General features: G+C 39.0%; 1 protein-coding gene across 12 annotated transcripts in view; it reads left to right on the plus strand.

The window, feature by feature from the left end:
- The window catches only part of MITF (melanocyte inducing transcription factor), a 228,869-nt gene extending 216,677 nt beyond the window's left edge, over positions 1-12,192 (plus strand). For all 12 annotated transcript variants that reach the window (NM_001354607.2, NM_001354608.2, NM_001354604.2 and 9 more), the window contains 3 exons: positions 315-390; positions 3,133-3,280; positions 8,707-12,192. In NM_001354607.2, the coding sequence (NP_001341536.1) occupies positions 315-390; positions 3,133-3,280; positions 8,707-9,108 (626 nt within the window). In that variant the 3' untranslated portion in view covers positions 9,109-12,192. The remainder of the gene's footprint in view (positions 1-314; positions 391-3,132; positions 3,281-8,706) is intronic.

Here is a 23,962-nt window from a genome sequence, read left to right on the forward strand (position 1 = left end):
TGTCCTCGCCAAGTCCCTAATAACAGTATCTCCAAGGCAATTTCATTATTTGTAACTAAGGATAGTAACTGATTTCAGGGTTGTTATAAGAACAAATGAGAAATCGTCTGTATCTAAGGGCTTTGGAAATGGTAAAGAAATGTAGCTCATTTTTAACTGCAATACCAAGAACATAGTAAAAATAGGGAAAAAGTAGGTTCAGGTTTCCGTTGTCATGACCTGGAGAAGTTAATATGCACATGCCTTTAATGAGATGTGCTAAATGCATACATGGCACTGTTACTAATAGCCTTTCCTGTGCTCTTTTCTTGAAGTTGAACGAAGAAGAAGATTTAACATAAATGACCGCATTAAAGAACTAGGTACTTTGATTCCCAAGTCAAATGATCCGTGAGTACAATCGCGTGTTAATCTGCATCATATATTTTTCGTACCTGAATGTTTTTTCATACGTTGTAAAAAATGCAGTTGTAAAAACTAAAGTAAAGAAGTCTCCCCTCTCCCTTTGGTTCTATTCCTAAATTCTTCTTACACCTTTCTTTTGGTTAGTCTCATCAAGCTAAAATTTCAAGACAAAAGCATTGAATTGTGCAAAAGGATTGTTGGACACTAGATGTTTTGGTTGTGAGGAGGTGGCTTTCTGAAACCTAAGAATTCTTTGCAAACAAATACTGAGCTTAAAAAAAATTTCCTTTAATGGTTCATGCAGAACAGAACTTTCAATAGTTGTTAAAGCTAGATTTGTTGACTGTTTGCTCTTTGACTTGTACAGTACCTCTAAATAGGCACTGATGAACAGACATTAGAGACTTAAAGTTTAATGATACTCCACAGACAAAAAGGGTCAATTATTTTTATGAAAACTTGCCTACTCTTTGTATGTTTTACCATTGTAGGGGAAAAAAAGTAGTGTTTTAATCCTCTTATTAAGTACAGGTCAGCTAATTTAGATTTCAGCTTTTGGTCTCTCTTTACCCACCCTGTCCCCTTCAGAGATAACAGCTGTAAAGATGATTTTCTCAAGTCTTTCCTACCAGCCTATAGTTACCTGCAACATCAGCAGATAGGACAACAAACACACAGTTTTTATCCATTAGAAATTGGCCCATTTGAAGCAAGGGGCTAGAAAATGTATACATTTTAATGGCCCCCACAGGCATTCTGTGAAATTAGCCTTTGAATATGACCTTTTAGCTACCTAATAAAATGTAAAGATGAAATCAAGTATTATTCATGCCAGGCTTATTAAATTTGCTGTTCACGTTACTGTTAGAGGATTTGTAACAAAATAAAATAAAACCATTACCTATTGTGAGGTGGTTTTGATGAATGTACAAGCACAATTCCATCTTCAATGTTTTGCTTTCCCAGGTTTCAAGGAAAGGCATTTTCAAACCCGAAACATTTCAGATTCTCAGTTCTGCAGCACAAATTTATCCTACTAAAGGGCTGTGACCTTCATTTCCTATAGTCAGTCTTGCATGATAGTTGAAATTGAATTCCCATTTTCCTCTTCTTTATCAGCTTTCACTTTTTAGCATATTCTTTTAAACTGTAGCATGTGAATCTCTTTAGCAACATATTATGAAATTATGGGGCTGCAGTGAAAGCCTCTATTTGCATATCTTCTTTCCCCGTTGTATTAGAATACTTGCGGGTTTATAATCTGAACTGATAATGATCTTTAATTGTAGGCATTGTTTTAAGACAAAACAGACTATAATCTATATGGTGGTTTCCCACACCAGGTTTCTAGAATGTGCCTTGGGGCTGCTATAGAGACACAGTCTTACAGACTGGGGTCTCAGCCCGGTACCTTTTCTCCCACCAGAGCAAGTCTGCATTTGTTGATTTTATATAATGGAGATCTATATTCACTATTCTGTGAAAAAAGAGTCCCTCTTATTACCAAACAAAAAAAAAGTTTGAAAACCCTTTCTTAAACTCAGAAGCATAATTGATTGATTGGATCTCACAAGGAAGCAAAACCCAAGATAATTGGTTGAAACAATCACTTCTTTTAAACTGAGTGACCCTTCAAATATCCCAATTCTGATTTCTCTTCTTGCTGGCCTATGTGAAGCATCATTTATTTTAACTACATTTCTCTCTGGCTGCTAAAGTTACTTCTCTTACTTTGATCTTAGCTCTGAATATTAAGTCTCTGCGCTCACTGTGGGTATCTCAGGACATTCCCCTGGGTTGCCATCTTTGGTGTTCAGACCCCAGGGATCAACTCCAGGGAATTCTCTGGGGGCTGGAACTGTCCCTCTTATGGGAGAACTTCTGTGTTGTTCTTCATGTAACCCAGATGAGGATCAATTACTTGGTGACTTGTTTAATGACCCTCCATTCACCGGTTCCACCTGATACTTGTAGATGAGGAAATGGACAAAGAGAGGCTAGATAGCCTGCCCATGATAATCCTTGATTAAAAAAAAAAAAAATAGAAGGATGCTGAGTTTATGCCATAAACAATTTAGTAGTGAGATCTCACAGATCTGTTTTACCATCGTTTATTCTCACTGAGTTAACTTTTGTAGTTTTAGAAACCTATAACTCTTTAACATAGTGTTTAAGGAAACTGACTTTGTAATCAACAGACCTAACTTTAAGTCCTGACTCTGCCATATAGTACTGTGTGGCCTAGGACAAGTTGAATTGTGTCTGTTTCAACATGTGCACAGTCTCTCTCTTACAAGGTGCTTGTCTGGGTTAAGTAAGACAATGTGTACAAACTGGGTGGGCAACACTAGGCACGTGGCAAACACTCGTGAATGGCAGCTATAATTAATGTATGATTATTTTATTTTTAAAATTGAATGCTTTTAAAAATGATACAATGGACTTTGGGGACTTGCGGGGAAGGGAGGGAGGGGGTGGGATGGGGGTGAGGGATAAAAGCCTACACGTTGGGTACAGTGTACACGGCTTGGGTGGTGGGTGTACCAAAATCGCAAAAATCACCACTAAAGAACTTATCCATGTAACCAAGCACCACCTGTTCCCCCAAAACTATTGAAATAAAAAAAAATTTTAAAAAGTTCAAAAAGAAATGGAGTGCTTTGAATATTGAATTTTCATTGAGCCTCAAATCCTAAAAATATCTGTTTTCCTCCATTTTCATCGCAGAGACATGCGCTGGAACAAGGGAACCATCTTAAAAGCATCCGTGGACTATATCCGAAAGTTGCAACGAGAACAGCAACGCGCAAAAGAACTTGAAAACCGACAGAAGAAACTGGAGCACGCCAACCGGCATTTGTTGCTCAGAATACAGGTACGCAGCCTGAGTTGTGTAAAGTTTACTGCTTTTTACCGACTTCAAGACAGTAGAAACAGGGATATAATGAGCCATAGGGGAGTTGACTTACGTGATCCTAACACAGTCAATCCTTATTATTTGTGGATTCTGTGTGTGTGAATTTGCCTACTTGTAACCCCAAAGTCAGTATCTGTGGCACTTCCACAGTCATTCTTGGACATGTGCAGAGTGGCACGTTTGAGCTGCCCATGGCACGCATTTCCAGGTGAGGTCGAATGACCCTGCCTGAGGTTGACTGTCTGCTGTCTTGTTTCAGCTCTCATCCTCTAAACAAGTGCTCCTTTCGTGGTCTGTTGAGTACTTTCTACATTTTTGTGGTTTCTGTTGGTGATTTCGCTGTTTAAAATGACCCCCAAGCATAATGCTAAAGCACTGTCTAGAGTTCCTGAGGGCAAGAAGGCCGTGATGTGCTTACAGAGAAAATACATGTGTTGGATAAGCTTCGTTCAGGCATGAGCTACAGTGCTATTGGCTGTGAGTTTAATATTCATGAGTCAACAACATATATTACATAAGGTGACCTTCAACAGAAACATACATAAAACAAGATTAAGTGTTGTGACTAGGGTCTCACAGGAACCTAACTTGTAATTCCCCTGGGAACAGTGCTTCAGTGTTCACCAATTCAGTGTTCACAGTGACTTTGTAGAACATAAAAAAAATAAGTACTGACTATACCACGTTAAACAAGAAGATGCCTTAGTATTTGTAGGGTCCGGGAAGCAGTTGATGGTCAAAATCTGTGTTTACAGGGAACTTGGGAACACCCAGAGGATCTTATATTAAGGACATAATTCCTGGAGATAGTTATAAATAGTGGAATTATAGCATATATATCTTTAACTTAAACTATACACCATTAGAAGAAGACATACTAATTTTATTAATATGTGCCATTTGTGCGTCATCCTACTCAGTGGGTATATGCACCAGTGTAAGCCGGAGATGGGGAATTCCTCTTTGGTATCAACTCCTGGAACTTCTCTCAGGGGCTTGGCGTCTCTTGTTGAGTGAAAGGGCACTACTTCCTCTGAAATGATCCTCAAAAACAGACTCCCTGTTATGGACCAAAGGGGGTTTGTGAGGGTAATTTTAATTTGCTGACTTTGAACACAACCTATCTGTAAGAGTCAGTGACACCATATCTTCTTCTTGAGTAGGCTGACCCACCTTTTACTAGATTTTGCCATAAAGCAAGGGTTGTCTTTCAACTTTTCCAGTGCAACTATTCATGGAGTTATTTTACGAAACAGCAATGAGAAGTATGACACCCTAGCGACCATTGTGTTTCACCTAGTGGTGCTCCTCCCGGACGTTGAACTTTTCAAACAGAGCAATTCACTTATAATAATGGTCTCCAGTCTTCTGAATGCTTATATTTTGAAATGCCACATCTCTCATTCACTGCAGTGATTCCTCAGCTGTGGGGTGGGGAGGTGGGAAGCCACTTCCCTGTTGGGGTGCATTTTAGATTCTGGGTAGTGAAGTAGAGGTAGTGTGTAATTTGAAAGCCCTCCTTTCCCCTCCCCTCCTCTACTTTGGCTTTTGTTGTTGGTTTTATGTTCTGTCTCTTCAATAAGTAGCTATAGGTATTTAATCTCTCGAACATAGTCTGCCTATTTATAAAAGCAGCTTGTGGGCCGGGCACGTGGCTCACGCCTGTAATCCCAGCACTTTGGGAGGCCAAGGCGGGTGGATCACAAGATCAGGAGTTCAAGACCAGCCTGGCCAAGATGTTGAAGCCCCATCTCTACTAAAAATAGAAAAATTAGCTGGGCATGGTGGCGGGCGCCTGTAATCCCAGCTACTCGTGAGGCTGAGGCAGAGAATCACTTGAACCCGGGAGGCAGAGGTTGCAGTGAGCCAAGATCGCGCCACTGCATTCCAGCCTAGGCGACAGAGTGAGACTCCATCTCAAAAAAAAACAAAAAAATAAAAATAAAAATAAAACCAGCTTGTGGCCGGGTGCGGTGGTTCACGCCTCTAATCCCAGCACTTTGAGAGGCCAAGGTGGGTGGATCACGAGTTCAGGAGTTCGAGACCAGTCTGGCCAACATGGTGAAACCCTGTCTTTACCAAAAATACAAAAAAAAAAAAAGAAAAGAAAAGAAAAGAAAAATTAGCTGGGCATGGTGGTGGATGCCTATAATCCCAGCTACTCATGAGGCTGAGGCAGGAGAACCCGGGAGGCAGAGGTTGCGGTGAGCTGAGATTGTGCCATTGCACTCCAGCCTAGGCTATAGAGCAAGACTCCGTCTCAAAAAACAAACAAAAAAAAGCAGCTTGTACTAATGTGTTGTTTCCTTCTACAAGTATTAAAATGTAATAACTATTTTGAAAGAGAAGCTAGGTTTTGTTTTATTTTAGGGTTCCAAACATGTATATTCATATGAAATACGAATATTGTGAAATATGTGCATTGGAAATTCCATGGTGACGATATCTTGGTTTTCTTCCAGTGACGGTGTGAGGCAGCCTTTAGAACTTTTGCATATCACAGAAAACATTATTAATTAGGAAAGCTCTGTGATGCAATTAAGCCAGAGTTCTCTAGATGAGATTTATCACCTTATTTAGAAATCTGAGTAATGCTTTAATCGCTGATAAATATTTTTAATTAGACAACAAAGGATTAGAGTGAGATGTTTGCCTCTCTTAATCCAACTTTATTATTCTTTTTCTGAAAAGACAATCTGCCTGTGTGGAGGTACTGTTCTTATTAGCATGTTGGTGTAGATTTACAAGAGTCCATGTTTTCAGTATGGGCCTAAGGGCTTTCTTTCATTTTCACTCTAAGTGATGCATGCAAAAGTTTTCACAGAAGAAAGAGCATGAATCCTTTATGTCAGTGGAACTGCCATTTTATTAAATAGCCCAGGGCTTTCAAATGGTGCCTGAAGAAACTTGTGTTTCTGGAGATTATGTAAAGGAACTTGAAGGTACTTGTGTGACATGTCAAGCTCCTGGCTTTTACTCATATTGTATCCAAAGAAGGATTTTGCAGACCCAAAAACCTTGAATTTAGACTGAAACGTGGCTTTGCAGGCACATATGTTTCTCAGCTTGTGGGCAGAGGTTGAGAGGCCATGTCATATGGAGAGTCCTTCCCCTCTCTGATAAGGAAAGGTGACTTGCTTCAAATTTATATTCTCTTGCTATATATTATTGTTTCACAACCGTGGAAGGGATAGCATTGGAATGGAGAAGCAGAATGCTTATCAGGAATCAATTAAAGTCTGTGTGGTTCATTTTAGGAGTGCCCAGGGATACACTCAGAAAGGAAAAAGGGAAAGAGCTTGCTTGGAAGGCATTTTGCAATGAGTTACAGGGGGAATCAAGGGTATTTAGGAAGTGTATTACCCAGCTAGTGCTGCTGTAGTGAAATGCCACTGACTGGGTGGTAAACAAGAGTTATTTTCTCATAATTCTGGAGGCTAGTTGTTGTCCAAGATCAAGTTGTCAGCAGGGTTGGTCCCTTCTGAGGCCTCTCTCCTTGGCTTGTAGATGCCTGTCTTCTCCCTGTGTGTTCACATGGTCTTTTTTCCTGTGTGTGTCTGTCCCAATCTCCTCTTCTTACAAGGACACCAGTCCTATTGGGTTTAGGCCCACTAGTAAAATCTCTTTTTAAATTAATTGCCTCTTTAAAGGCCCTATCTCCAAATACAGTCACATTCCAAGGTACTAAGGTTAGGACTTCAACATTCAAATGTTTTCCAGGACACAATTTAGCCAATAATAGGAATGTATGTGAGGAAGGAAAGGAAAAAAATTGTTCATCTTATAGATGAGAACGTACTTGTTGAGTTAAAAAAATACTTCCCCTTTGCCATGGTGAGATGGGCTAAATGATGCTTCTAAAACTTTAGTTACTGGCATAGAACTTTCACAGCTTTTGCTATCACTACCCAAATTTTTTACTTCATGGCACTCTTAGTGTTTTAGCAATCTTTTTACCATCCCCCTAGACCAAAAGAAATACCTACTCTTTTTGTTAGGTCCGAACAACTTATTAAGTATTTAGGTTCTAACAACTTGGTAGCCATTTGAAAAAATAAAACATATAAATTGAAAGGAAATAGCATTTTTATTTTGTTATTAAATAACCATATTACTTACTAACTGGATGTGTGTGTCTGTTGGGCACTGCACGACTTCTAAAGTCTTGGAATCAGATTGGACACCATCACCCCATCGCCCTTGTTTCCCAGGCCACAATGATGTTCATGTGGCACTTGTTTTCCTTCAATCACAGCAACTGCCAAAAGCTCAACTTTGCAATGATATCATGTGGTTGAAAAGTATATAGCACAGTCTGATGCTAGAAGAGAACTATCTTGAGTTTAGTAGTTCTCAGGTAGTATTGCCATTGCCCTTGAAATGTTAGGCTATCTCCAGTGCTCTGTGAGTTCATTGCAGCACACATGGGGACCTCAGTGCAAAGCTGAAGGACCATGAAAGCTGAAGGACCATGAACTCTTTACTGAATATGTTTCTTTTTTCTTTTCTTTTTTTTTTTTTTTTTTTTTTTGAGATGGTCTTTCACTCTTCTAGCCCAGGCTGGAGCGCAATGGCGCAATCTCGGCTCACTGCAACCTCCACCTCCCAGGTTCAAACGATTCTCCTGCCTCAGCCTCCCAAGTAGCTGGGATTACAGGCATGTGCCACCACACCTGGCTAATTTTTGTATTTTTAGTGGAGACGGGGTTTCAACCATGTTGACCAGGCTGATCTCAAACTCCTGACCTCAGGTGATCCGCCCCCCTCGGCCTCCCAAATAATATTTTTCTTTTATCAGCTCGCATTTAAAACTTTATTTTTGTATTTTTTAACTTATCCTCAGTGTGAACATTAATATCTGTGAGAGACCATCTCTATTTTTCATACATAATCAAATCTATAAAACACCTAAAAATTTATTTCACATACTGCCAGTGGTACTTCTCCTATACTTTAGAACATACAGAGCTCATTAATTTAAAAGAACAAAAAACTTTTATTTTGAGGATTTATTGTTTTCCAAGTATCTGATTTTTAAAAATAGACTTTATTTTTCAGGACAGTTTTTGGTTCACAGTAAAATTGAAATGAAGCTGCAGATATTTCCCATACACCTCATTCCCCCAAGCACGCACAGCCTTCCCCATTATCAACATTCCCTACCAGAGTGGCACATTTATTAGAATCAATGAACCCGCAGTGACATTTCATTATCCTCCAAAGTCTATACTTTACATTCCCTCTGGTATTGTACATTTTGTGGGTTTGGCCAAATGTCTAATGACGCGCATCTACCATTATAGTATCATATAGAGTGGTTTCACAGGCTTAAAAGTCCTCTGTGCTCTGCCTATTTCAGTGTTTTATCTTTACTCTTATTATAGGAACTTGAAATGCAGGCTCGAGCTCATGGACTTTCCCTTATTCCATCCACGGGTCTCTGCTCTCCAGATTTGGTGAATCGGATCATCAAGCAAGAACCCGTTCTTGAGAACTGCAGCCAAGACCTCCTTCAGCATCATGCAGACCTAACCTGTACAACAACTCTCGATCTCACGGATGGCACCATCACCTTCAACAACAACCTCGGAACTGGGACTGAGGCCAACCAAGCCTATAGTGTCCCCACAAAAATGGGATCCAAACTGGAAGACATCCTGATGGACGACACCCTTTCTCCCGTCGGTGTCACTGATCCACTCCTTTCCTCAGTGTCCCCCGGAGCTTCCAAAACAAGCAGCCGGAGGAGCAGTATGAGCATGGAAGAGACGGAGCACACTTGTTAGCGAATCCTCCCTGCACTGCATTCGCACAAACTGCTTCCTTTCTTGATTCGTAGATTTAATAACTTACCTGAAGGGGTTTTCTTGATAATTTTCCTTTAATATGAAATTTTTTTTCATGCTTTATCAATAGCCCAGGATATATTTTATTTTTAGAATTTTGTGAAACAGACTTGTATATTCTATTTTACAACTACAAATGCCTCCAAAGTATTGTACAAATAAGTGTGCAGTATCTGTGAACTGAATTCACCACAGACTTTAGCTTTCTGAGCAAGAGGATTTTGCGTCAGAGAAATGTCTGTCCATTTTTATTCAGGGGAAACTTGATTTGAGATTTTTATGCCTGTGACTTCCTTGGAAATCAAATGTAAAGTTTAATTGAAAGAATGTAAAGCAACCAAAAAGAAAAAAAAAAAGAAAGAAAGAGGAAAAGAAATCCATACTAACCCTTTTCCATTTTATAAATGTATTGATTCATTGGTACTGCCTTAAAGATACAGTACCCCTCTAGCTTTGTTTAGTCTTTATACTGCAAACTATTTAAAGAAATATGTATTCTGTAAAAGAAAAAAAAAATGCGGCCTTTTCATGAGGATCGTCTGGTTAGAAAACATAACTGATACCAACCGAAACTGAAGGGAGTTAGACCAAGGCTCTGAAATATAAAGTCTAATCTTGCTCTCTTTTATTCTGTGCTGTTACAGTTTTCTTCATCAATGAGTGTGATCCAGTTTTTCATAAGATATTTTATTTTGAAATGGAAATTAATGTCCTCTCAAAGTAAAATATTGAGGAGCACTGAAAGTATGTTTTACTTTTTTTTTATTTTATTTTTGCTTTTGATAAGAAAACCGAACTGGGCATATTTCTAATTGGCTTTACTATTTTTATTTTTAAATTATGTTTTACTGTTCATTTGATTTGTACAGATTCTTTATTATCATTGTTCTTTTCAATATATTTGTATTAATTTGTAAGAATATGCATCTTAAAATGGCAAGTTTTCCATATTTTTACAACTCACTGGTGGTTTTCCGCATTCTTTGTACACCCATGAAAGAAAACTTTTATGCAAGGTCTTGCATTTAAAAGACAGCTTTGCGAATATTTTGTAAATTACAGTCTCACTCAGAACTGTTTTTGGACACATTTAAGGTGTAGTATTAATAGGTTAAAACCAGGCTTTCTAGAAAGAATAAACTTACATATTTATTTTTAGGACATGAAAATAGCAATATTCTTGGAGATTGATAACCATAGCATTAATACGCCCATTATGGTCATTTAAATTGGGGTTTATTTCAGCAAACTTGTTGAATTTATTTTTAAGAAAGAAATACTGTATTGGGAAGTTACTGTTACTTGATAACAATGTTTTAACAAGAAGCAATGTTATAAAGTTAGTTTCAGTGCATTATCTACTTGTGTAGTCCTATGCAATAACAGTAGTGTTACATGTATCAAGCCTAGATGTTTTATACAGATGCCATATAGTGTTATGAGCCAGGCTGTTGAATGGAATTTCTCAGTAGCAGCCTACAACTGAATAGCAAGTGGCATAAAGCATATCCATTCAGAATGAAGTGCCTTAAATATAGCAGTAGTCTTTTTTGGACTAGCACTGACTGAACTGTAATGTAGGGGAAAGTTTCATGATGGTATCTATAGTCAAGACGAACATGTAGCATGGTGCCTATGTAGACAATATAAGAGCTTCCAATTTTCCTTCAGATATTTTTAATATTAAATATATTTTAGTGACAGAGTGCCAACTTCTTTCATCAGGAAACCTTATTCAGGAGGGTTTTTAAAAAGTGTTTAAATGTCAAATGTGAATTGGTGATGGGTGATGGAGGGTTCAGAGAGGAGTGATCGTCAGATGTGTGAATGGACGGTTTAGGTGAAAATAATCAACTGCATAGTTCCCATGCACGCTGGGCAATGAGAATCCTTGGAAACATTGGTGATGCTATCAGTTTTATAGCTTTATTTCTTAAGGGGGTAGGGAAAATTAGTTCCCATTCTTTCAACCCCCTTAACTGTATAGCTCTTTTCCTAGAATAGTGACGCAAATCTGCATGAACAGCTAATTGTACCATAGTGTTCATTGATACAATCATAGCATTGTCTATTTTTCTCTTCATATTTATATGGGGGGGAGGGCGCTGGATGCAAAAGTTGAAGATCGTGATGCTATGATGTTAGTTTTCCTTAGCTGATTTTGAGGGTTTTTAAAAATAAAGCAAGGTTGACTAACCTACGGCCACGGGAACAGGACCATGGTTAAGCAACCATATAGAAAGCTTTGTTGAAAGAAAGTATGGCATCTTGTACCACTGCCCTGACTGTCACAACTCCTAACCTTGCCATTGCCTGCCTCCCCCTCCCCTTCTCCTTAAGAGACAATTTCTGCAGGTGGCAGGTGAGCAAGCCCAGGAGAATGCTGCAATCTTGGGGGTGGTTTTATTTATTTCTTTTTTGCCAAATAGAGTGTGGATTCATTTCAGGGGCTAGCTAAGCCAAGAGGCAGTGGTTTGGGCTTGTTGTTTGTAACAAGAAAATGATCCACACCACTCCCCCGATTCCCGGGTGCAGAATTGTAACTCGGGGTTGGGCCTCTATATGGAGTGACCAAAATGCCAAAATTGTCCATCTGCCTCTGAGTAGGGCAATGGAAATACCAAACCTTCTGACTTTGCCAAAAAGCATACAAGCAACCTGGTCATACATAGGATGACAAAATTCTTTCTGGTTGTTTTTAAACAATAAAGCAATAAGAACAAATACAATACATAGGAAGTTAAAAGCACAAAGGAATGAACTTATTAATATTTTTGAAAAATGCACTGGGAAAAAGTTGATGTCAATAACAGTATAAAACAGCCCTATTTCTTGATAAAAAATGACAAATGACTGTCTCTTGCGGATGCTTGGTACTGTAATGTTAATAATAGTCACCTGCTGTTGGATGCAGCAATAATTTCTGTATGGTCCATAGCACTGTATATTATGGATCGATATTAATGTATCCAATGAAATAATCGACTTGTTCTTGATAGCCTCATTAAAGCATTTGGTTTTTCACATAGTGGTGGCCTATTGTGTTAATGCCAATTTTGAATGCTATCTGCCATATCAAAAAATGGTAGTGCACATTTTCTTCTGATTTAATGAATAACAAATTGCATGAAAATTTAGAAAATGCCAGTAAGTACTTTTTTTGTTTAAAATGCCACTCTAAGATGTTACTTTTTGGTTTTAAACATTTTTGATTACTTTTTGACTTACACTCAGATGAGGTGTAATTATGCACCTTTTTTATCCCCCTCTGAATTTGGGGAGATTTTAAACTCCCAAATGCCAAGACTTCATTTTAGATATAGGAGTTTTATTTAAAATGTTTCATTGAGAGGTGGCTTTAAAAAAGAGAAATTGTCAGAGAAACCCTTGCATATTTACAGAAAAGATATTGGGTTTTTAAAATACAAATTTACAATAATGAAAGCTTAATATACCCAGGCTGCCAGCTCCTGGTTGCCTTTTTTTTTTAATACACTACTTAAGAATCATTTGATAAATGTTGGATTTGAATTGGGAAGTGTCAGACAAAACATGTCTTTATTCCCTAGCTAGACCTTAAACTTCTGCCCTTTTAAAAAATATATTCTGGCTTAACCTCTGGAGAAAATGAGCAAGAAACTTCCTGTAATGCTTCTGATCTGACTGTCAGCTTTTTCCTACTTTTAATTTTCTTCTTAAATTGTAATATACAATAATCAAGGCCTTTCTTTTTTAGACCTATTTGAATTATTTATATTTTCCCTAGAAGTATAACTGTAGGATCCCTTAAAAACATGTAAAAGTAGAAAGATTTCCTTTTGGAACAAGAGAGAATATTCTGGGCAAAATCAAAAGCAAGTAAGTTGAAAATTGGGGCTTTTCATCTCCGGGGGATCTGCAGCAATACCTTCACCCACATTTCTGTCCTGATATTTACCAGTAAATAGTCATTTCACAGCCCATAAGAATCCTTCATCTTTAGCTTCCCCCACTTACACACAGACACACACACACACACACACACACACACACACACAATTAACGTGTTATAGTGGTGTTACCTGAAGATTAGACATTTGCCTACAGTGTGTATGACTTCATTTGATATCCACAGAGTTACATTTCTTAAAATTTTATTAAGCCAATTCACTTTCAAATAAATTATATCCGTTCAATCACCACACATGACCTCTCAGTTAATCTTCCTGGGTTTGAATCTTATCTCTGCCCATGTCTAGCTCTATGATTTTGCGCAAGTTATTTGGCCTCCCTGTGCCTCAAAAGTAGCTACCACATAGTGGTCTTGTGAAGACCATTCGAGTTAATAATACTAGAATTTGTGCTTGACAGCACATAGTAAATGCTTAGTAAATGATAGCTTTTCTTATAATAATCACCTTCATTACTAAAATGGAAAATACTTTCTGGACCAACTAAAATCATCATATGTATTAGCAGTGACATGCACACCACATTTGGCAAAGCACTGAATTACAACATAGATTGAAGACATGTGTAAACTGGCCAGGGGACAGAAGCCACAGGCTATTTAGGAGAAAGGAACCTTGCTGTTTGTAAGACCTAGGGTAGGAATATTTTAGAGAATTAGTAATAAACTCAAAGTATCACATTAAAATATCTTCAGCACAAATGACCTAAAATTTAAATTGTTTTAAACCTGTACATTCTGCATGTATGCTTCTGCCATGAGAATAATTATATTATTTTCATAAAATATGCCTTAGTGAAGCTGAAATCTTTATTATATTCTTTAGAAAATTAAACTGTTTAATCCTTTGCAATATACACTGATATTATACAGCTAAGAGTGGTGTCTTGACTATATCCTGTCTTCAGTTTCCTATCAATATTGAAATGTTTCTCAGGATTTTATTTTCAATTGTACTTACATTTGATGACTTCTTTGGAAAACCATCTGAGAAGTTAATCTTCATAATCCAGCCAACATAAATGAACTCTTAGAATTACTCTGTTTTTATTTTTTTGTGTATGCCAAGACTTAATGCATAGCCAAGTAGCATGAGGAAAGCTCCTTTAAGAGGAGCGTTGTAAAGTTAGATTTTCATTATATTTAGAGAGAGGTTGTGATGATCTCTTAATTCTTTGCTGCCACATCTGAGGCTCAATAGCAGTGGCTTTATGTCTGTACCCATAATAACATGAATCCATAATACACGTCTGAACAGAGTGTAAGTGAAGAAGCTTTTATTATCCCAGTTTTCCCAAGAGGCATATATCCTCCTCCCCTCAAAAAAGTGTAGAGTAAATCTGCCATATTAAAATTGTCAAGGTCCTGTATATACATAAAATGTAGACATGGTTAATTGTATTTGTGTTCAGTATTTGTAGGTCTTTTGAGCCTATTACCTATACCAGATACACTGGAAAGTAATATGAGTATACACAAAACCAAATAAATTTCAGCAACGCATGTAAATGGTAAAGACAGTTTGCTTTTGAAAAATTTGCATTTTAAATTTCTAATTATGGAGTCAGTTGAAGATATATCCAAATGGGTGCAATTGTCACTCAAAATTCCTTACATATTATTCAGACAGCAAAATCTATGTAAATAGAAGCCACGAAACTAGTGTTTCCCAAACTTCACTTTATGGAACTAGTTCCACAAGCTGTTGCACAAGTTGCTTTGAGGAATGGGGGTTTGGAGGTGGGCTGGGGTCAGGAAATGCTATACTGTAGTTAATTTTGAGGAAGTTAGCTTTGGGAAATGCTGAGCTAAACAAATGTGAACAAGTATTTCTACTGCAAGACTTCTCACATTCTAAATTATGCTAATGGGATTGAGAGTTCGTAACATTTCCCAGTCTCATTTGGCCACAGGATTGTGTGTGTGTGTGTGTGCGCGCACGTGTGTAAGACACCTGCTAATTGTTCCAAAGAACACAGTTTGGGAAATTCTGGAGATTTTACAGAAATTATTTAAACTCAATAAATTTTTTTTTTGTTTTCCTAAGGCAAGTATGCTTACGTTTGTTTATGATTCCATAGGTAGACGTCATTGTCATTAAAAAAGTATTACTCTGAAGAAACAAATTAGCTTAGGTTTTCATCTCCATTGAAAATATAAAATTCTGATTAAGGAAAATATTGGCATTAAGAAACTGTTATTCCTGAATTTAAAAAGTAACATGTTTTCATTTTCAAAGAAAATATTCACTCTGGTTACACACATGTTCAATGTACCTTTTGTATGAGTGGTACTATAAAAAGTTCTTTAAGTTGAATGTCTCCCACATCTTTAAATATGGACAACCTAATGTTTAGGAAATATTTGGTTTATAACTTTAGGTTCAGCTTACTGGTTTTTGCTGGAAGGACATTAGGAAGAATTGTATGGTATTCAGAATTGATGTAGTCTTGTCAATGACTCTTTTTCAATGAAGGTAAGTTCTGACAGAGGGATCAGGTTGTATCTCCAAAGTTCGGTTGTTAATTGGTTATAGGCCAACCCACAAGAGCTATATTAATTCTTACATGCCTGTAGTATATTATAGGACTTACTAAGATTGTTTTAGAATTTAAACACTGTATTATGAAGCCCAAGGGAAAATACATTAACACACCTTTTCCACTCCTTACAGATGAGATCACAGATTTCTTTCATTCAATGTCTTTTAAAAATACTTTTCAGCCCTCACTCTTCGCCTAGGAATAAACGGTGAGCAGAGGAATTTCACTCCAGTGGAATGAAGGAATTTATTGGCTCATATTACCATAAAGTCCAAATGGCAAATATAACTTCACGTATGCCTGGGTTCAAGGGCTCAAACAAGCATTCAATCTGCTTGTCTCTAATTTTCTTGGTGCCAACCTCCTCTTGGAGGCAGGTCTTCTCCATGAGGTCCCCTCTGGCAGTTTCAAAGTCCAGTAGAAAGCCAGCACCTCTTTCCCAGTTGCTATGGTGAAGTCCCTGTAGTAGTTCTGATCAGCCCTACTTGGTTATGATCACCATAACCCAAAAATGGAACACACCAGTGGGCCAGGTCTGGGTCACGTGTCCACTCTGCTAGATTCATTCAGCAGCACCTAAACCTTGTAGACCAAGAGACAAGGAGGTGGGACTCACCCAGACTCCAAAGGATACTGTTCCCAAAGCGGGAAGAGGAATCTCTGTAAGCAAAACAACAGATACTCATTGCTTGGACTTCAAGAGGACTGGACAAACTCTACCCTTGCCAATCTTTTGCCTTTTCAGATGCACAGATTTGGGACTTTTTTCTTCCTTCACCCTTAACCCCAGGGTGATAGAAAGGGAGGGAAGGAAGATATTAAATCCCTACAGCTGCATCTCCCTCTTCCTCATTATTCATGGCTCATTTCTCATAACCAGCTCTCCGGCTCTCACCCCCTACTCAATCCTCTGCCAGACAGAGATCCTAAGACCCAAGTTTTGCAATAAAATACAGTCATGTGCCACATAATGATGTTTTGGTCAATGATGGATTGCATATGTGATGGTGGTCACATAAGATTACAATGGAGCTGAAAACTTTCTATCACCTAGTGACATTGCAGCTGTCATGCCATGAGCTCAATGCATTACTCACATGTTTGTGGTGATGTTGGTATAAACAAGCCTACCGCACTGTCAGTCATAGAGAATTATAGCACATACAATTATGAACGGTAACATAATACTTGATAATAAATGACTATATTACGGATTTATGTATTTGCTATTTATCATTATTGTAGAGAGTACTCCTAATTGTTAAAATGGCAGGTCCTTCAGGAAGTATTCCAGAAGAAGGCATTGTCATCAGAGGAGATGACAGCTCTATGCATGTTCCTGCCCATGAAAACCTTCCAGAGGAACAAGATGTGGAGGTGGAAAACAGTGATATTGATGATCCTGACCCTGTGAAGGCCTAAGCTAATGTCTCTGTTTTTGTCCTTGTTTTTAACAAAAAAGTTAAAAATTGTTTTAAAATGAAAAATAGTAAAAAGCTTATAGAATAAGGATATAAAAAAGAAAAATTATTTTATTTACTTTTATTTTTATTCTCTTTGAGACAGAGTCTCACTCTATCCCCCAGGCTGGAGTACAGTGGTGCGATCTTGGCTGACTGCAACCTCCGCCTCCCGGGTTCAAGCGATTCTCCTGCCTCAGCCTCCTGAGTAGCTGGGACTACAGGTGTGTGCCACCAAGCCTGGCGAATTTTTGTATTTTTTGGTAGAGACGGGGTTGCGCCTTGCTGGCCCAGCTGGTCTCATACTTCTGACCTCAAGTAATCCACCCACCTCGGCCTCCCAAAGTGCAGGGAATTCAGGTGTGAGCCTCTGCGCCCAGCCAAGAAAATATTTGTGCACAGCTGTACAATGTGTGTTTCACACTGTGTTATTACAAAACAGTCAAAAAGTTAAAAGCATCAAAAAGTTTATAAAGTAAAAAATTATAGTAAGCCAAGGTTAATTTATTACTGAAAAAAGAAATTTTGAGTAAATGTAATGTAACCTAAGTGTACAGTATTTATAAAGTCTACAGTAGTACAGTAATGTCCTAGGCCTTCACATTCATTTACCACTCACTCATTGACCCACCCAGAGTACCTTCTAGTCCTGTAAGCCCCATTCACGAGCCCTATACAGGTATCCTATTTTTAAAATCTTTTATACAGTACTTTTACTGTACTTTTTCTATGTTTAGATACACAAATGCCATTATGTTAAAATTACCTACAATATTCAGTATTCAGAGGGCTCACCAAGCACTCACTCCTCTAAATACAAATGGACTCTTACTTCTGTCATTTCTAAAGCCAACTTTGTTATCATGATGTTTTCAGTTGCCCATTGCAGAAACGAAACTCCATTTGGAAAAAAAAAAAAAAGGCAGGGAGGAGAGAGGGGAGTTTACTGGTTTTCATAACAAAACTCCAGGGGTGAAACTCAGAATGGTGACTTCAGGTGCTCAAATGACCACTTCATGCATGCATTGCTCCCTCTTCTTAGATGTGCTCTCCTCTGTGTTGGCTTCATTTTTAGGCAAACTCTCCCTGTGAGGTGGCAAAATGGCTAATGGCCCCAAACACAACCTTGCAGTTTATCAACCAGCCCGGAAAGAGCATTTCTCTCCTCCCAGAGTCTCATTGGCCCAAACTGGCCAGTATGTTTAATCCTGGACCAGTCATTATTTCCAGGGGCATGGAATACATTGACAGGCTACTCCTAATCATATTTTTACCCATTGGGCTGGGATTGACTCAGCCTTTTTGGAGGGGAAGGAGGCAACCCTAAAAACTGAGAAGCCCTCATCCAAGTTGTCCTTTCTGACTATGTCCACTTGCTTTTCCAACAATCAGCTCCTTATCTTTCAGGTTTCAGATGAAATTTCACCTTCTCAGAGAAGAGGTCAATGACCACCTTACATAATAGAAAGGAGACTCTATTTGCCTTTCCTTAACCTACCATCTTGTTTATTTCCTTCATAGCCTTGGGTTGCCTTTTCTCCTTCTCCTTCTCCTTCTCTTTCTCCTTCTCCTTCTCGTTCTCCTTCTCCTTCTCCTTCTCCATCTCCATCTCCTGCTCCTTCTCCTTCTCCTTCTCTATCTCCTTATTCTATCAGTTTGCTTCTCCTTCTCCTTCTCTATCTCCTTATTCTATCAGTTTGAGCTGGTTTCTCGTCCCTTTCATAGAAAGTATTCATATTTGTGATCAGTAGACAAGGGTTGGCAAGTTTTGCCACAATATTGTCAATAAGAATACAGTCTTATTTTAAAAAAATAAAATAAATGAAAGTACTAGGTTAAGAGAATCTGTTTGCTAGGACTGTGGAAGTATTTGTTTATAAGCAGCATGTTATCACATCTTATTTACATGAGTTCTTGGGAGAATAAAACTTCCACATGAATTAACTTATGGATAGCTGAACTTAGCGCTTTAAATGGCCAAAATTTTATTTTCACTATTTTTGATGATAGGCTTTCTCAAGTGTATGATTCTCTACCTCTTGAAACAGACTGTAAAGAATATAATTTTACCTGTGCTTGATGGCTCAGGGTCATCTTTAAGATTATTATTACTTTGAGCTCTAACGCAATGGTGTCCTTGGAGGCTTCAGAGATGTAATGAAGGTTTTGGTCCCTATATGAAGAGGCCCTAGAGAGCAGCACTTTCACTCCATCTTCTTTCCCCCCAAACCCCTTCAGATTTACTGCTCCAGCTCTGCTGTGGGCTTGAGAGAATTGCTAATCCAGTTAAGTCTTTAATAGTTAACAGAATTGTGTCTTGTATAAGGTAAATGTGCCTCATGTAAAGATCTGGGCATTCTGCTGCCTGTGCTGCAATGCATAAGCTTTAGTGCTTTGATTTTGGCTATGAAGAAAACTTTTCCTCCCCTAGTTGCCTGTTTTTTCCACTGGACTTCAGCTAATTAGAAGTTGCTGGATCTGTGACCTAGTTAAATAAGTTTTTCTATAATTAGAAACACAGGTTGGACTCGTTAGGGTCATGAGATTTCATTTTGTTAAGCCACTTGTAAGCCATTCTTTCAACACTTTGTAGAAATTCTGTTAGGTTAGTCCAACTCAGATGATGACAGAGTCAGCAAACTTTTCTGTAAAGGGCCAGGAAATAAATACTTTAGGCTTTTCGAGCCAAAAGGCAAAATTAAATATATTGTATTGGTGCTTACGTAACAAGAGAGAAAACAAATTTCTATAAATTTTTCATTGATGAAATGCTAAGTTTAATAATAATTGAATATCATTCTTGTAATACAACTCTACTATGAAGAAAAATGGAATTCTTTTGGGGGAAAAATAACATTTTGATTAATTGCGGTTCAAAGTTCCTGTCCCCTAGCCTCAAACTGATTGTAAATGCTTATCTGTAAAAGCTGCTCTTAACTCACAGGCTGTTCAAAAACAAGTGGCAGGCCAGATTTGGCCTGCAGGCTATCTTTTCTCAACCCCTGGACTGTGGCAGTCTAATGTCCCCTGATAACTGTTTTCTCTTCTTCATTTTAGCAATAGAATGCCCTGAATTGTAGGTCAGCACATAGCCGTATTTGTGGGTTCCATAGTTCCCAGCCTCTGTTATAAGTAGGTGTGACCCTATCATTAAATGCTGCATAATGGGATGTGAGCAGTCCTCCATTTCTTCCTACTGTCTAGGAAAGAGTGAAAGCTGAAATAGCTTCCTTGGACCAGAGATAAAGGTCCTATGTTGGATATGGTGGAGCTGCTTCATCTTGCATCTCCGGAATGCTGTGTAGAAAAAAAAAGAAATGGTTGTCTTATTTAAGACCTGTGTGATGGTTAATACTGAGTATCAACTTTATTGGATTGAAGGATACGAAGTATCGATCTTGAGTGTGTCTATGAGGGTGTTTCCAAAGGAGATTAACAATTGAGTCAGTGGGCTGGGGAAGGCAGACCCACCGTTAATCTGGTGGGCACAATCTAATCAGCTGCCAGCACGGCTAGAATATAAGCAGGCAGAAAAATGTGAAAAAGAGAGACCGGCCTAGACTCCCAGCCTACATCTTTCTCCTGTGGTGGATGCTTCCTGTCCTTGAACATCGAACACCAAGTTCTTCAGTTTTGGAACTCAGACTGGCTCTCCTTGCTCCTCAGCCTGCAGATGGCCTATTATGGGACCTCTTGATTGTGTGAGTGAATATATATATATTCCATTAGTTCATATATATATATATATATATATATATATATATATATATATTTTTTTTTTCCTTTAGTTCTGTCTCTAGATAACCCTGATTAATACAGATCAGATTTTGGTACCAGGAGTGATTGTAAAGGAACAGAATATTAAGGATGGGGTTCTTTAGTCAGTTTTGGGGTTTCTGGAGCTGGCTGCTTAATACGATTAGACCCCAAAATTCTAAGGACTCTACCTCTAATAGTATGGAGAACACCACTGGTAGTCCTTGGCATTAACCATTTAGAGAATTATGCAAAATAAATGCATTTGACATTCCCGATTCATCGCTAGTGAGAGGCAAAGAGTTTAGTGACTCTATACATAATAACTTTGACCATATAGAGAGAACCAAGGAACATAATGAAGCTGGTTGGTTGCTCCTAAGTTCAGTGAGCAAAGTGATGAAAGAAAATGATGAACTCAGGGATTCTATGTCCTGGCTTCAGTAGCAGATACTGAGCCTCAAATCTGCAAAGATTGCCCTGAGTGAAAGTCTTATCTTCCGTAGAGAAAGAGCTGCAATTGTAGAAAAACAGACACAAGCTCTTATCATATAAGTGGCTGACCAGCAAAAAAAGGTGCATGTACAGCTTTACCAGGTGTCTACTGTTGAAGTGAGAGCATTGATTGGAAAAGAATGGGACCCTGCAACTTGGAATGGGAATGTGTGGGAGGACCCTGATGACGCTAGGGACACTGAGTTTGTAAACTCTGATGAACCCTTTTGGCCAGAAGAAACAGCTTCCCCATCCCCAGTAGTGGCAACATTCCCTCCCCAAACCACGCTGCCATGAACCTTTCTACCTTTGTCTGAGGAGATAAACCCCGTGCTGCCTGAGGCAAGAGCGATGGCCTCCCCTGAGGCAGTTGCCAGGCAAGATAATGTTGATTCTCCTCAAGAGCCACCCCCAACACCCCTGTTTGCTTTTAGATCTGTAACTAGACTAAAGTCCTGGTGGGCCCCTAGAGGTGAGGTTGAGAGTGTGACCCATGAGGAGGTGTGCTACACTTGAAAATACCTGCTTGAGTTTTCTAATTTATATAAACAGAAATCTGGAGAACAGGCATGGGAATGGATATTAACAGTGTGGGATAATGGTGGAAGGAACATAGAGTTGGATCAGGCTGAATTTATTGATTTGGGCCCACTAAGTAGGGACTCTGCATTTAATATTGCAGCTTGGGGAGTTAAAAAATGTTCTAATCATCTATTTGCTTGGTTAGCTGAAATATGAAATTAGCTGTGAGTGAACTGGAAATGCCTGATCTCCCTTGGTTTAATGTAGATGAAGGGATCCAAAGGCTTAGGGAGATTGGGATGGTGGAGTGGATTAGTTGCTTTAGACCTACTCATCCCAGCTGGGAGGGTCCAGAAGATATACTCTTGACCAATGCCTTGTGAAATAGATTTGTGAGGGCAGCACCTGCATCTTTGAAGAGCCTTGTAATTGCTCTTCTCTGTATGTCAGATCCAACAGTGGGAACCACAGTCACTCAACTACAAAATTTAAATACAATGGGGATAATTGTATACTGAGGTGGCAGAGGCCAAGTGGTGGCACTCAACTGTCAAAGGCAAGGTGGGTATAGCTACCATAATGGACAGCAGAGGCAAAGCAGCAATCAGAATAGTCTGACTCCTGTAGAGCTCTGGCATTGGCTAATTAATCACAGTGTTCCTACAAGTGAAATTGATAGGAAGCCTACTGCATTCCTACTTAATTTATACAAGCAGAAAACTTCTAGGTCAAATGGACAAAAGACTAATTTGAATTATGAAAACAGAGACTCATGGCCCCTCAGTCAATTCCCAGACTTGAGCCAGTTTACAGACCCAGAACCCCTTGAATGAAGGGGAGGCCAGGTCCCCTTGAGGAAGGACCCCACTACATTACCAACAATTTATACAGTGAATATTTCTCCCATACTTCCCCATGGAGACCTCTGGCCTTTTTCCAGGGTAACTGTGCATTGGGGAAAGGGAAATGATCAGACATTTAGGGGACTGCTGGACACTGGCTCTTGGATTCCAAAGGACCCAAAACATCACTGTGGTCCTCCAGTTAAAGTAGGGTTTATGGAGGTCAGGTAATTAATGATGTTTTAGCTCAGGTCCAACTTACAGTGGGTCCAGTGTGTCCAGTGGGTCCAATGGTTCCCCGGACTCTTCCTGTGGTCATTTCCCCAGTGCCAGAATGCAGAGTTGGCATAGACATACTTAGCAGCTGGCAGAACCCCCACATTGACTCCCTGACTGATAGGGTGAGGGTTATTATGGTGGGAAAGACCAAATGGAAGCCATCAGAGCTGGCTCTACCTCAAAAGATAGTAAATGAGTAACAATATTGTACCCTGGAGGGATTGCAGGGATTAGTGCCACCATCAAGGACTTGAAAGATGCAGGGGTGGTGATTCCCACCACATCCCTGTTCAACTATCCCATTTGGCCTCTGCAGAAGACAGCTAGATCTTGGAGAATGACAGTGGATTATCATAAGCTTAACCAAGTGATGACTCCAATTGGAACTGCTGTACTAGATGTGGCTTCATTGCTTGAGTGAATTAACACAACTCATGGTACCTGGTATGGAGCCATTGACTTGGAAAATGCCTTTTTCTCCATTCCTGTCCATAAGGCCCACCAGAAGCAGTCTGCCTTCAGCTGGTAAGTCCAGCAATATACATTCACTGTCCTACCTTAGGGGTATCTCTACTCTCCTCCTTTGTGTCATAATCCTATTCGGAGAGAACTTGATCGCTTTTCACTTCTGCAAGATATCACACTGGTCTATTACATTGATGACATTATGCTGATTGGATCCAGTGAGCAAGAAGTAGCAAACACACTGGACTTATTGGTGAGACATTTGTGTGCCAGAGGATGGGAAGTAAATCCAACTAAAATTCAGGGACCTTCTACCTCAGCAAAATTTCCAGGGGACTAGTGGTATGGGGGCTGTTGAGATATCCCTTCTAAGGTTAAGGATAAGTTGCTGCATTTGGTCCCTCCTACAGCCAAGAAAGAGGCACAATACCTAGTGGGCCTATTTGGATTTTGGAGGTAACACATTCCTCATTTGTGTTTGTT

Source organism: Homo sapiens, chromosome 3 (genome assembly GCF_000001405.40).
Source record: "Homo sapiens chromosome 3, GRCh38.p14 Primary Assembly".
NCBI classification, from domain to species: Eukaryota; Metazoa; Chordata; class Mammalia; order Primates; family Hominidae; genus Homo; species Homo sapiens.